The sequence below is a fragment of the Homo sapiens genome, chromosome 16, assembly GCF_000001405.40.
Source record: "Homo sapiens chromosome 16, GRCh38.p14 Primary Assembly".
NCBI classification, from domain to species: domain Eukaryota; kingdom Metazoa; phylum Chordata; class Mammalia; order Primates; family Hominidae; genus Homo; species Homo sapiens.
Genome location: NC_000016.10, coordinates 62,720,286 through 62,736,315, shown reverse-complemented (window position 1 = coordinate 62,736,315; position 16,030 = coordinate 62,720,286). Strand labels below are relative to the sequence as shown.

The 16,030-nt window shown below is 38.1% G+C and overlaps 1 long non-coding RNA gene across 2 annotated transcripts in view; it reads right to left on the bottom strand.

Annotated features, from left to right (window-relative positions):
* LOC102723560 (uncharacterized) overlaps nucleotides 1–10,659 on the bottom strand; it is a 110,046-nt gene extending 99,387 nt beyond the window's left edge. Inside the window, exons 1-2 of one of the 2 annotated variants that reach the window (XR_933663.3) lie at nucleotides 10,624–10,659; nucleotides 6,189–6,372 (exon numbers count right to left, since the gene is read on the bottom strand). This is a non-coding gene — a long non-coding RNA (uncharacterized LOC102723560). The remainder of the gene's footprint in view (nucleotides 1–6,188; nucleotides 6,373–10,623) is intronic. The other variant, XR_933661.3, reaches the window with a different exon arrangement.
* Between the last annotated feature and the right edge of the window lie 5,371 nt (nucleotides 10,660–16,030).

Here is a 16,030-nt window from a genome sequence, read left to right as displayed (position 1 = left end):
TTTGTGAACTGCCTTCTAGTTTTGTTCTATATAAAAATTACCTTTTTCACTTCATGATTATGCTCTAAAATTTATTAATTAGTATCTTAGCATTTTCATTTAGTTTGATTTGTATGCACATACACACATAACTTATCTTTTTAATGCCATCTTAATAATATTCACAATTATAACTTTTTATTTCCTTTTGACCTTTTCCTGATAATAAATTCCCTAAAGGAAGATAAGTATGTAAAGTTCCATTGGCACATTTAATGTTTATGGATAAGTATACAGATGCCTCTCCACCTTAGAGTTATGTCCAGATAAACAATAATGATATTTTCAATTTACAATAGAGGTTTATCAAAAAATAACCCCATAATAAGTCAAAGAGTATACTGAATGCCTATCACTTTTTCACCATAGTAAAATGAAGAATTCCTAAGTTAGGGACCATCTGTATATAGACAGATCTATTGATAGATTAATTAATAAATTGATTGATAGAACTGATAGATGATAAGTGGTTAATACAAGAGGTTTCCTCTTTTATTAGTTTCATTCCAGTATTATTTTATATCAATTTTATTGCAATACCTTTAGAAAAAATAACTACGTGTGTGTTTCATACTTATTTTGTCATTTTGCTAGCCAAGCGACAATTCAATAAAGCTTTAAATTGTGTTTTATTAATAGTAATGGTTGACATCATAAGGGCTCAGTAAATATTTGTTGAGACTAGATTTTTTGTTTGTTCATATACTATTTATATTTTATCTTAAGTAATTTTCTTTGCCCTTAACCAAGTCTTTTCATTCAAAAATCTATGCTCTATGAGATGTCTGACTAATGTTGAATGTCAAAGGTGATGATAGAAATAATCTGATCCTGTCAGTTTAATTCCTTTTTCTTAATTTTAGAACCACTAACTTCGCTTTCTAACCATAAAACTTAACAGCCAATTGGTACTTTTTTCTGTATTAATTTTTAAAGATTCAGTAAAACTAAATGACATCTTGACATATATGCCTTTTCTCATCATAGATACCTAAGAATAGTTTTATTATTAGTTAAAGTTTTTCTTGACATCTGAATATTTTATGGCAATTTATTTTTTTAAATTCAATCTGTCTTCTAAAACGAAGAGTTCTAATTCTTTATTGCCCTTAGAATAAATCAACATGTATCTTAAAAACTAGTCAGTCATGATTTTCTTTGAAAAGAAGATTAACTTAAATTGTTCATTCAAATGAAGTTGCTCTTCACTTTTTAGTTACAGTTCTTTATGCTTACTAATATGAAATTATTTTGGAATCTTTATTTACAAAGTGGCTGAAAAATACTTTGTATCATGCAAACATTCTAATAAGTAGCTCAGGTAAGAAGCAATTTACCTTAATGGAAGGAGCACTGATGCTAATTAAAATGTGGATTTTAATCTCTGAGCTATAAAAAATGTACTACGTAACCAGGATCCAGTCCTTTTGCTTCTCTGCAACTCACCTTACTCTTACGAAAAATGAGTGCGTTGATCTAGAACAGTGGTAGAAAAATGGGTAGTAATTAATGAAAAAAGTCATGTTTAGAGGTAATGTTATTTTTTCATTCAACATTAAAATTGATTTATGTAGGATAGTGTGAAAAAATGTATGTTACTTTATAATGTATTACCTGCCTTTTTAATATTAGAATGTTACCATACAATGTAGTGTTGTGTTAGTTAATGTTTTATCTTCCAAAGATAGATAAAACAACATTTCCCATCTCACTTGTTTTACCATGTTGCCTTGATACTCTTCCAATTTAATGATTGGGAATATAACACTTTTTCTTAGATCTGATTGGGTTTGTAACAGCTGTGGCCAATAGAGTACAATGGAAATGACATTATGTAACTTCAATGTCTATGTTATACAAGTCAATGGAATTCTAAACAAAAAACCTTGCTTTTAAAACTAAGGAGTCCAACTTTCCTGAGGTCTCCATGTTACATGGAGAGACCGTTTGTGCATGCTCTTATTAAAAACTCAGCTGAGAGCCTAGTCAACATCCAAACATGTGAATCAAGATGCCTTGAATATTGCTAGCCCTCAACCATTAAGTCTGACCAACTAGGGCCCCTGACATCATGAAGCAGAAACAAGCCACCCATGTTGTACCTAGTCAATTTTTCAGATTCACAGACTCCATGAGCATAGTAAAGTGGTTGCTTCATGCCACTCACTACTGGGATAGTTTGTTCACCAGTAATAACAAGCAAATGGAAATTTAGAATTCATAAATACAGTGCTATACTATAGTGTATTGCATATATCTGGAGTACTATATTATAATATGCTATACCATGCTGTATATAATCAAAACTTAGGACATGTGGCATTGGCTTTGGTATCAAGCAGATACATGCGAAGCCTTGAAGAGATCTTTGGTAAAAGCCAGAAGAACTTTGTTAGATCAAGGCTTACAAGACTGAGAAGAAAATACTATAAAAAGATCTAGAAAATAAAGAGAATTTGTAAAGTTACAGAAAATTCAGACAAAAATGTTACCTCAAGTGATATGGGAAGTATAAAATGTATGTAATGAACTTGAGGAGTTACTGAAGAATAGCTCCAGATGGAATATAGGCACGTGCCATCTGCCTTTGTCTGTAATAAAATAAGCCAAGGCAGAGATGGACTAAAGAATAAACTATTTAATGTTCAAGTATATTTTGAAGGATATTTGAAGTTCCTAGAATGGCCTTTTCAAATTTTAACGGATTCTCAAAATAAGAAACATACTCTGGACCAAGATCAATTCCAGGACGAAAATATACCTAGAATTGTTAAGACCTTAGAAAGTTCTAAGGCGATGTCTCATACAACTTTTCAGAAAGACCAACTGCATATAAAGTTTCTCAAGTCATACCTGAAAGACCCATTTTATTAAAGAAGCAGGGATTTTGATATTTTACGGTCATGACAATCTACACACTCCAAAGACTAGTTCAACTGTCCCCATGTCTTAATTCCAAAGTCCAAAACATGATGAGTCAATGTCCAGTACACTCCAGGGTGCTGTGGTCAGGGGTCAGGCACAGACCCAATACAAATCTTCCATGTCAGGACACTCACTACTCAGTCAAACAAGTTAAAGTGAGCAGGTCCTAGAGAACAAAAATAGCCCTAGATTTTGGATTGGTCAGACACTACTGAAAGTATGTTCACAAAGCCATCTAGAAATATACAAGGACAACTGAGAAAAATGATGCATTTTGCACCAAATTCTGCTTGTGCCATTAAGAAAAAAAGAGGTTTTCTGTATTTTGTAGTGTATAATCCTACTTTCTGATCGTCACTCAGAATCTCTACCTACAACAGCTCTGCTTAACATGTAGGTAATATGTATGTATGTATGCAACATGCATGTAATGGCTTGCCTTATCAGGCAGTGTTCCATCTAAAATAAAAGTAACATTAACAATCTTACAGATATATCTTCCTATTTTGAATGGCCACACTGAGGTCACTTTAGTAGATCTCAGTATCGAGATCACTGGAAAATAAATGAGTTTGTTTCCATAAATACAATAGTGCTTTTTATTAAATTATATCAAGGAGAGATGATTACAAAGTTTACTAAAGTAACCACAAGCCTGTAGAAATTAATAAAGTACAATTCAGAGAAGATGCTGCATAAAGATGGAAGATACATAACCTGACTTTGGTTGTCCCAAAGGATAGAGTACAGAACCTTGTGGTATTTAAGCCAAGTGTTTGAATGCTATCTATTTATAGAAAAATAACATTTGTTATTTACTTGGGAGAGCTCCCACTGAAATAATGGATTTCAAAGAGAGAGAGAGAGAGAGTGCCTTTCACTTTCAAATTTGAATGTGAAATTATAAGTGTCTATACATTTTATACCACTGCCAGAGAACTACAATGATTTCTATTGCAATTTCCTAAGGAAATCCTGTCTCTGTTCTCCAAACATAGAAGCATTGTACAACTGTCAGACAGGAAGCTCTCCCTTGAGGAAACAGACATCTCCAGTAGGACCCAACAGCTGTGGGAGGAATCTCCCAGCAGTGATATTTACAGAGCTCCATTTTAGGTATTGTCAGTGCTAGTCATGCTGCAAAGTCAGTGCCATCACTATTATTGAAGCTAATGGTTAACTGAATATGAATTAAATGGCTGTTTTTGTCATAAGTGAATCAGGCAGCATACCATGTTCATTCACTCAGTGAGAGGGCAGCCTCCTCCTCAGAGCGACAGTACTAAAAGCATTTTGTCCCTTAGGAAGGTGTATTTTTCATGTTTCTGGGCACACTCAGGAATGTCACTGTCCCGTGAGATTCGGGACAGCATCACGCACCCTGGGAAATGAGGAATGTCACCCTTGGTATGAGAAGTCCAAATGTCCCAGCTGTTCAGCCTTGAAAATTCAGGCACATTTCTACTCGCATTATATGTGATTAAAGTGCACAAGTTTGCAAAACTCACCTATACAAGTAAAAGCTTAAGAAAATAAAACCCAAATCCCTTGACCCACTGGGCTACACTTCTATTCCAGATAAAATATATCTGTTTGGAGGTGACAATGAACAAAACACAAAATTGATTGACACTCTCTGTACCACTTGAAATCACAGAGCTAGCTCTTACAAGATTAATGCTGGAATTCTGGCCTTTTGCGTCTTCATGTTATGACACATCCAATATTTAACACTCTACTTTCTCTCAACATTCAACATTCTCAACGTTCACCCATCTTTATATCTTTCCTGTGTATGCATTCTTCTCTGTCTTCCCTCCTCATTTCTGCTCCAATCTTTTCTTTCATTTCATTACATTTCCTCCATTGATCATTAGTTTATACAACTTAAAATTTTAAGAGTGCTTGATTCAGAGCAGATATTTCAGACATACTTGCTGAATCAAACATAAAGGAATAAATGTCACCGGTTTATTTTCTTGTTCTCTGCATTCATTGTCTCTTGAACATTCTAAAAATCACCATTGCTTTGAAAGCTCACTCTCAAAACTAATTTCACCAGGATTTCTGTCTTTCTACTGGAGCCATGACCTCCTCTCATGCATTCTCTCAATAAACAATTTATAAGCCCTACAAGGAAAGAGATAATTTGAGATTCCAAACAATAACATAACATTATCAGAAAAAAAAGGAGGTCAAGATATGGAAGCAATCGAAGTATCTCTTGATAGACAAATGGATTTCCTTTTAAAGTGGCGTATATAAACGTACAAATATACAATTTGGAAATTCAGCCCTGTTTCCTCTCTTTTGGCAATGTAATGACCACGCAAGCTACATTCAAAAGATACTTTCTGTAGGGCTGTGAAGCTTTGACTAACCCCTCTACCAAGAATAAATAAATAAAGTATGGTGAAGTATGAAAAGCATGGATTCCGTGGCTAAATGAATTTTGGCTTATTTTTGAGGTGTGGAGTTCAGAAAAGTAACTTTTATCTCTTAGAGCTTCAGTTTGCTCACCTGCACAAAAGCAATAACAATACCAACTTTATAAGGGGTTGTGCAGTGCCTAGTACATGTGAGGGCTTCTGTTAATAGATGTTTTTTGCCTGTTCTTCTCTTCTACGCTCTTAGCAAAATGTATATAACCTGCCTCTCACCCATCTCATTGTGACTTTTTATACAACTTTTGTCTTCCTGGAACCCAAGCTCTCTGCCTAGCTCACAGTGCCTAGAATATGGCTTTAGCAGTAACAATTACATCTACTAAATGACTTATGTATATGTATGAATGTGTGTGTATATGTGCCAGACATCAGAGTAGACCCATTTTTGTGCTGTGTTAATCTTTTGTCAGCCCTCAAATTTTAGATACTTTCAAAATTCCCAGATAAGAAAATTGTGGGCTCATAATGTTCATGTCACACATTAGTGAGGGTAGTCACCAAAACGTGAACCTTTAAAGTACAATTCCAGTACCCATCTCTTAATCATATCACTACCCTGCCTTTTAAACTGGGTGGGTGTAATTAATCTTCAACGATTGAAGTTCCAGAGAGTCCTAATAAAACTAGCAGTCATACATGGCCCTAGACAAAAAAAAAAAAAGAAAGCCATATATATGAGTACTCCTACTAACTTCTTTTAGAAATTTTGGTAGAGTTGGCATGCAGAGTTACTTTTTGTATCTTGCTGAATCCCAAATGCCAATAAATTAAAATTACCTGATTGGCAGAGAAGACACAGCTTTCTGTGCAGTGGGAGAGAATATGGAAGCTTGTGGCATCTCATTAACTCTCTAATTTCCTATATTGAGCGGTATAACATGATGAGGCTGAAAAGGCAATTTACCTTTCAATACAAGGAAAGCTGCTTGATTTCATTTCCAGAGAAAGCTCTTCTTCCTCCCTTTTAGTCCGTGGAAAATTGAAGGGAAAGAAAAATACTGTGTCAATAAGCTCTGTAAAAAGTTTATGATATAACAGGAAACAAAAACTGAGTTTAAATACTATATAATGTAAAAATGCTTGTGCCAGTTTTAAAGGAAACAACTCATATTCAACAAGTATTTGTGCTGTGGACGGCCTGGGGTCAACACTTACCTGTGCTGTCTCACTTAGCCCTCAACGCTGTCTGTTGACCTGTGATTATCTTTACATCCATATGAGGAAAGGGAGACACACATGATTCAATAAGTGCCCAAAGTCACTCTATTAGTATCCAAGCTGAAATTTATGCTCAGAAAGTTTAACCCCAGTGTCTGTGCTGTTCACCCCTGTATTACACCAACAGAAAAGTGTGACCCAAATGAGGGTGAAATCAGAGAAGGACAGCATTGGTATGGTGAAAACTTTGGAAACTGGGGCTGGACTTATAGAGAGCGTTATCCAAGAGCCTCTATGGAGATGATGGGCCCTCGACTTACTTTGTCTACATGTAAGAAAGCCTTTCATAACACAAAGTGCTCATCAAATCAAATTGTGTTAATATACTTATTTTAACAATTCAAAGTGGCTTTCTTGTAAAGCACTGGGCCCTTTTTTTTTTCCAGATGCGTTCTCAATAGTGGATGACCCTGGATGGTCTGCTCCAAATATTTTATATAGAGGCAATTTGGTTGTTCACTATTTCTTAACATTCCCTCCTTAATCAAGCTTTTCTCTCAATTGCTACATAAACACTGCTAATTCCCATCTCTATTCTCTCTGTTCAAGAGAGAAACCTTTCCCAGTGAAACTTACAGGAAGTGCTATTGAGTGATAAAATCTGGGTTCCTAGAACTAGAGAGACTCTCCCTCATCTATAATCCCTTCTCTCTCCCCTCCTATCACCAACCATTGCCCATGTTTCAGGACCTAAGTCAAGTCTCACTTCCTTCCGTCTTTATCAAGCAACCTCACCAACATCTTCCAGCTACACAAGGATCTTATTTCACTCATACTGAAATATTTGCCATTTTTTAGTGTTTTTGAATAGAGGGTTTTGCCATACGGATGAGAATACAAACTCATAGAAAACAGGATGCTTGGACAAATTAGTGCAATTGTTTCCAAATTCCTCTACAAACATAAAAGTATGCAGAATTCTCATGCATAAACTAGACGCCAGTGGGAGCCTCTGGTGGAAGCTGAGAGTGCTGGCTACCAAGTGTGTTCATCCAGTTTCCCTGCCCTCTCCCTCCCATTTCTTCTCCAAGAAGCTAAAATAAGAAATGGACAAGGGGATCATAATCAGAGGGACTGAATTCAAACTCAAGCTTACTGAGTGACATCGGGAGAGTTTCCATTCATTTATTAAGGTCTCTTTTTATTTTTGCAACGACCATCATACACCAACCTCAGGAGTAATATTTAGGCTTCAAAGAAGTGAACAACCAATAACGTTTTACTTTCTCCTTTTGTTTCCTGCTTTCCCTTTCCCAGATTGTTTTTCCTCCCATTCTTCCCACCACCCTTTTCCATGACATCTTTTTTATTGCTATGCCTATGGTAGGACCCTGCATACATTTATCATTTCATGTCCTAAATAGCAAAGATATATTTTGAATGCATTATAATTACAGATATATGCAGTATGAGGTATGCTAAGAAAAATATGACAGCCACCATGTTTGTGTTATTGTTCTATAAATATGTCCAATAACACAATAACATATTTATAGAACTATTTTTATGTATGGAAATAGAGTTTGCATATTCATGGAGTATGTTTTCCATTCCACAATACCACATCAGGCAATATATTACATCTCCTGGCCTGCTTGATATTCAATGCTAATAAAGTCTCATAGAAATAAAGCTATGTGGTAATAGAATGGCAGCTTTTTATTACAGAGATGTTTCTATTATGCTAATTTATGATTTACACAATAAGTGTAATTTCTTAATATAAACAAAACTCTAGTCCAATTTTAAAATGCCTCTACCTCTGGCTGGCAAATTTACATACCTCACAGTTTTATTAAATATATTCTGTGAAGATAAAACACATTTTTTACATAACAATCACCTCCAGCTTTTCCAGGGAGAATTTGATGGCATAGAACAGCTGCACATCTGTAATTGTTTTACCACCTGTTCTAAGGAAGTGAAGGTTCTGTACCCTACAATGGTGACTGGATAATGTTCTTCTCATATTTCAAGGTCATCAATTCTACTTTTATCTTTCAATACCTCTGGCATGGGAGGGGGAAGGAATGTCTGATAGAGTTGATTTTCCAAGGATTAGAAATTTTCCAGAAGAAAGGAATAGGGATTTACTTGAAATGAACAAGATGACTGAATGAGACGGCCACCATCTGTGATGAGCTTTAATTTCTTTCCTGAAAGGCAGTTTTATTTTGATACAGAAAAAGTAAAATGGTTGAGTTCAAAAGCAATGGAGGCCTTTCATTCAGAAAAAATAACATGAAAATGTGACAATATTGTTTAAATAATGATCTCTGTTCTCTCTCATACACACAGAATCTTTCATACTGACTCACAGAAATCACCTATGCTGATTAATGAATTTTAACTATACCACATTTAAGCAGATTGACCAATCTCAATCACAAAGTTGCTATATATTGATGTCATTCCGAGCAAATGTCACCATCTTTGTCAAATCACCAAAGTAGCCAAATCTGTGTCATAAAGTTAATGGAGCTGACCCAGGTGTATCAATGACACTGCTTTTGGATGTCTTAAAGCGATATTAGTGCAATGACTCAGTATGATGAGGCACGGTATTGAATTCTAGTGATAGATTACAGCTGAGACAAGAAGGAATCTTTGGTTTAATCTTATTACACATTTTAAATATCTAAATTTTAATTCTTAGTTCTTAGTTTTATGTTTTAAGACATAATTTTGCTTAATGGGTAGTTATGCAAGGACAAAGGAAATATATGTTAAATATTACCTTCCTTTTCTAAATATTCGTTGAAAAAAGAAGGAGCAAGGGTAGGAAGGAAGTAGGAGACTGATTTGAGAGTTGTCATTAGCGTACATAAGAAAGTAGTAAAAATATAGTCATGGACGTATCTGAAGTTTCTGCCTAGATTGATAGATAATTGTCCTACTAGTAGGAATCAGAAATGAATGGATGGGAGCATTTTTAGGGAGTAAAGAGGATGAAGCCAATTGGAGCTACACAAAGTTCTGGGCAGAGCATCCAATAGACACTTTCCCAACTCGGAACTGGTGTGTTTTACACTATGAACAGCAGTGTACTAGATCCCTGCTTCTCAACTGGAAGCAATTTTGACCCCAGGGGACATTCTACAAAGTCTGGAGTCATTTTTGGTTGTTAAACTGGGGAAATAAAAGGGGCTGCTACTAGCATTTAGTTAAGAGTCTGGGATACTGCTAAGCATTCTGCAGTGTACAGGACAGAGCCCCATTCCACAACAAAGAAGTATCCAGCCCAGAATATCAATAGTGTTGAGGTTGAAAAGCCATGAGATAAAGACCCTCTTATTGACCAAACTCTAACCAGGTTTATCTGAGCTTTTTCTCATCTAAGCTTCAACTTTGACTTATAAAGACTTCAAAAACACACTAATATAGTTCATAGTAGCTCAATGAGGCCACTTCCTTAAGATTAACTTAATTTCTTTCAAAGTGCCTGCCTGGGAAAACTCAACTCTGCCAAAATAATTTACTGTTCGCACAACCCGGCACCTAACAATGGAGTCTCTGATTCCCAGTCTCTGTAGGTGTGGGAAGGGCCTACCATCAATAAGAGCCAATTAGTAAAACCAGATGGGTTTCACGTGGACTATGTCCCCGTCCTGCTGCGTCCGGAACTGGTAAGTTCTTGGTCTCACTGACTTCAAGAATGAAGCCGCGGACCCTCACGGTGAGTGTCACAGTTCTTTAAAGGCGACGTGTCTGGAGTTTGTTCCTTCTGATGTTCGGATGTGTTCGGCATTTCTTCCTTCTGGTGGGTTCGTGGTGTCACTGGCTGAGGAGTAAAGCTACAACCCTTCACAGTGAGTGTTACAGCTCTTAAGGCAGAGTGTCTGGAGTTGTTCTTTCCTCCCAGTGGGCTCATGGTCTCCCTGGTTTCATAAGTGAAGCTACAGACCTTCGCGGTGAGTGTTACAGCTCATAAATGCACCACAGACCCAAAGAGTGAACAGCAGAAAAATATATTGTAAAGAGCAAAAGAACATACCTGCTACAAAGCAGGAAGAAACCAGAGCCAGTTGTTACTACTGGCTCAAGGCAGCCTGCTTTTATTCTCTTATCTGGCCCCACCCACATCCTGCTGATTGGTCCATTTTACGGAGAGCCAATTGGTCTGTTTTACAGAGAGCTGATTGGTCCGTTTTGACAGGGTGCTGATTGGTGCGTTTACAATCCCTGAGCTAGACACAAAAGTTCTCCACCTCCCCACTAGATTAGCTAGATACAGAGTGTTAATTGGTGCCTTCACAAACCCTGAGCTAGACACAGGGTGCTGATTGGTGTGTTTACAAACCCTGAGCTAGATACAGAATGCTGATTGGTGTATTTACAATCTGTTAGCTAGACATAAAGATTCTCCAAGTCCCCACCAGATTCAGGAGCCCAGGTGGTTTCACTCAGTGGTTTCACTCCACCGGGGCCACAGGTGGAGCTGCCTGCCAGTCCCACGCGGTGCTCTGGCACTCCTCAGCCCTTGGGCGGTCGATGGGACCCGGCACCGTGGAGCAGGGGCTGCGCTCGTCAGGGAGGCTCAGGCCGCGCAGGAGCCCTCAGCGGAGGGCGGGGGTGTGGGGGGGGAGACTCAGGCATGGTGGGCTGCAGGTCCCGAGCCCTGCCCCGCGGGGAGGCAGCTAAGGCCCGGCGAGAAATCAAGCACAGCAGCTGCTGGCCCAGGTGCTAAGCCCCTCAATGCCCGGGGCTGGCGGGGCGGGCTGGCGGCTCCGAGTGCGGGACCCGCCAAGCCCACGCCCACCCGGAACTCGCGCTGGCCAGCAAGCGCCGCGCGCAGCCCCGGTTCCCGCGTCTCTCCCTCCACACCTCCCCGCAAGCTGAGGGAGCCGGCTCCGGCCTTGGCCAGCCCAGAAAGGGGCTACCACAGTGCAGCGGCGGGCTGAAGGGCTCCTCAAGCGCGACCAGAGTGGGCGCCAAGGCCGAGGAGGCGCCCAGAGCGTGCGAGGGCTGCCAGCAGGTGTCACCTCTCACTGCTTTTTATAGCTTTTCACTTCCCTGAGTCTACTGAGCCCCTGCTCACTTCCTCCCTATTTCCTCATTGTTTCTTTATTTTTATTTTTTTTGAGACATAGTCTCACTCTGTTACCCAGGCTGGACTGCAGTGGCGCAACCACAGCTGACTGTAGCCTCTATGTCCTGGCCTCAAGCAACCCTCCTACCTCAGCCTCCTGTGTAGCTGGGACTATAGGCACAAGCCACCACAGCTGGCCAATTTTTTATTTTTGTTTCTGTAGAAACTAGGTCTCACCATGTTGCCCAAGCTGGTCTTGAACTCCTGGGCTCAAGCGATCCTCCTGCCCTTGGCTCTCAAAGTGCTGGGATTACAGGCATGAGCAATCACGCCTGGCCCATTCTCTTTCAAACACAGTCACCTCCGTACAATTTGAAGCTGAGTTCAGTTCACACTGGACTCTTCCCTATTGCAATAGTATATTACTGATTAAAATCTGTCCTTTAGTGTCTGGCTTTGTTTATATTTGATGCCTGTACTAGATAATGGATGAAGGTGGTTGCATAAGTGTATGTGTGCTTATGTAAAAAAATCTGTAATCTAGTAAAGGGAAAACAAGATTGTACATAATGGAAAATCCATATGGATAATAAACATCAAAGAAGTTCACAGAGGTTCAGAGATGGTATAAGGATGGTAGAAAAATAAAATACAGCAATACATTTGCAAGAACCCAGTGAAAATAAGGACATCTATAAAGTAACAAAGACTTAAGAAGTAACTTTTTCAAGTTTACATAGCTAGTTAGTGAGCTACTACAGAGGAGAGTTTCCAACTTAGCTCTTTGATTCTACAGCCAATTCATTGTCCTGCCTACAATACTAAGAACTAAAGCTATTACAATTGAGTGATAAATGATCTTTCCAACTATGATTGAGGGCTTCCTGCAGTCTTTGCATGTTTAATGTTGAAAATTTTGCTGGACTAATGGGCAGCCCATGTTTATGTAGTCAGCAGAGGGCTGCTGTAAACATTATAATTGTAACAATGTTTCCAGTCTCCCACATATTCGCTACTTAACACGGTGAGCAGCCTCCTAAAATGGGTGAAATCATGCACAGCCAACAGAATAGCATATGGAGTCCCCCCAACCACCACCAAAAAAAAGTGAAATTTCTTTCAGAAATGTTTATCTGGAAGTCTGTTTCTTGCTTTGATGGTTGTCACAAACTCCTGGAAAATTATTTTGAGAATTACCTTTATTATGATGAAGGCATAGTATGTCTTGGATCAGAAAATGAGGAGGTAGCTGCTGTGGTTTGAATGTTTATCCCTTCTAACACTCATGTTGAAATTTAATTCCCATTGCAATAGTATTAAGGGGTAGGAACCTTAAAAGGTAACTAGGTCATGAAGGCTTCACCCTCATGGGTGAGATTGGTGCTGCCCTAAAAGGGTGAGTTAAGCCCCCTTTTACCTTCTCTTTCTTGCCCTTCCATCTTCCACTATGAAATGATGCAACAAGAAGGCTCTTGCCAGGTGTAGGTCCCTCGGGTCTTGGACTTCCCAGCCTCCAGAACTGCAAGCAAATAAATTACTGCTCATTATAAATTACACAGCCTGCAGTATTGTGTTGTGGCAGTGTAAAATGGACTAAGACAGTTGCTATACTGCAGTGTGTAATTATATGGTACAATAAGATATCCAAACACTGACAGGTGAGCTAAATTTAGGTCCTTGCACAACAAATATATTAGCTGTTTGACCTTAGTCCAGTCATGTATCCTTTTTAGGACTTGGTTATCAACTGAAAATGATTTAATTAAATTTTAATAAAAACCATTTGTAGCCCCAACTGGAACTGATTCTGTGATCCTTATAACTTAAAAACATATCATCCAAAACTGACACCATAGCAATACCTGATGTTGTTTATCCACACATTCAACAAATATTTGTTGAAGACCTGCTATTTGTAATTCATAATGCACTTTTTAAGGTGGAGTTGAATAAATCCAAAGCACAAATCTTTGGTTACTGCTCAGGAAAGAAAAAATTACTCAGAATCTATGGTGGAAAAAATACTTTCATTGCTAGAAGATAAGTGTAGGCACAGCAATGTGGAATCAGGAAGATGAAGTTACTTTGACTTTGGAGATCAAGACAAGAGTGATTGATTAATGAGCTAGCATTTGAATGAGAAGCTTGAAAGCTGAGTACCACCCTCAAAGTTATAAAGCTGTGCTTCTTAGAATATATATTTTTCTAGGTTGGAAAAAACAGAAGTCCACCTCCCTAGAATGAGTTAGCCATTTTGTATATACATTCCCAAAAGACTTAAATTATGCCTTTGTGAAAACAGAGAGAAAGAGAGAGAGTCGGCTTACTTATCTGTCATTATTGCTGGATATCTGGTTTCTAACTGATTGCTTGACTCAGAATGGGACTTCATGAACTATACAAAAAATAATTATGAAGTGCTACATCCAGTACTTCACTGGAGCTAGGCTCTGGGTATATGTCAAACAGATAAAAAATTAATCTTGATTAACTAATATGGCTGTTTATTTATTTTATTGATCTGGTTAAGGGAAGGTTTGGTAGTGAGTGAGGATTTAGCATGCTCATATATACAGGTGTTTAACAAAATTTAGGAGGGGAAAAACAATACAATTTAGGTTCTATGTATTTGTATCAGTCATGTTGAGATTCCTTCAGGGTTGCATGATTTACTAGGCTGACTCCTGTGCAGCACCAGGGTTTATTCTAAGGCTCAAATTACTTCATAATATGAATTGATGCAAACTAGAAAACTCCCATGAGAGTGCATCTTTTCCATTTTATCTCTGAATTATTTTGTTCAATCCAATAGTCATATAGATTGATCTGTATCTCAAGGTTCAGAGCATTGCTTCAAAAATATATGAAAATGAAAAGACCTTTTAAAAATAGGCCCATAGCTCTTTGGAGAAAAAGCTGAATCTATGACTAGGGCAGGAAATAGACAAGATGAGCTAGGAACATATTATGGGACAAGAAATAAGGAAATGCTAAACACACACACGCACACGCACACACACACACACACACACACAATTAAAGATAGACACGCAAACCAACTGAAAGAGTTCCCAGTGGTCAAAGCTGGAAGAATTTGAACAATAAAATAAATTTATGAATCTATACTGATATACATAAATAAATAAATAAATAATTAAGTAAAGTTTGGCAACTGCCCCATGCAGAAGAATTAAAATAATTTACATAGATACTCCACTCTCAAATGAAGTGAAACTTAATCCCTCAATTTTTAAGCATGGACTATGCATAGTGACTTCCTGTGGCAAACTATACTATAGAAAGAGAGTGAGTGTGTGTGTGACTTTGCACTGGAGAAACATGGTAAATGTTACTTCAATCAAATGATAAAGATTCACATCAACAGTGATAAGTCATGTTGATAGTATATACCCTTGATGTGATCTGATGAAAATGGACAGTTTACCTCCAAAACACAGGCCTCTCAGTCTGACTCTGAGACAAAGATCAGACAAATATCAATAGAAGAGCATTCTACAAAATGCCTGCAGTACTTCTTAACACTTTTAAGATCATCAATAACAAGAAAATCTAAGGAACTCTCCACAGCCAACAGGAGCCTAAAGAGATACAATCCTTAGAGAAAATCCAAGAACAGAAAAGGGACATTAGGTAAAGACTAGAGAAATCTGAATCAAGTAGCAAATTTAATTAATAATAAGGTATCAATATTGGCTCATTATTTGTAACAAATGTCGATACTAATACGTAATCTTAGGTTGGTGCAAAAGTAATTGCCATTGAAAGTAATGGCCAAAACCGCGATTACTTTTGCACCAACTTAATATCAATACTAGAGAAACTGGTGCAAGGGTATATGAGATCTTTGTGCTGTCTTCACAACTCTCTATAAATCTCAGACTGTTCTTAAATTTAAAAGATTTTTTTTAAAGGAAGTTCATAAAAAACTTAAAAATTGAATTTCATGCCCCTGTCTTCTCCTGACTCAACGTTCCATTTTCATTTTGAACTAATCCACTGGTTATGCAAGTTTTTGGCATGGACTCATATCCATTTGTGTGTCTCCTGCAGTTCTCCTCTTTGACTCTAGGTCTCTGGCCATTGATCACACTTTGCCTTCCATGGTGGGTCTGATATTTGACTGTGGACCCAGTGCTCCTCTTTCCTGACATCTCTTTCACGCATGCTGGGCTCAGCCTACTCACTGTTCTTCTAAAACTGACATGTTCTTGGCCAGGCACGATGTCTCACACCTGTAATCCCAGCACTTTGGGAGGCCGAAGCGGGTGGATCACGAGGTCAGGAGATTGAGACCATCCTGGCTAACATAGTGAAAGCCCGTGTCTACTGAAAATACAAAAAATTAGCCGGG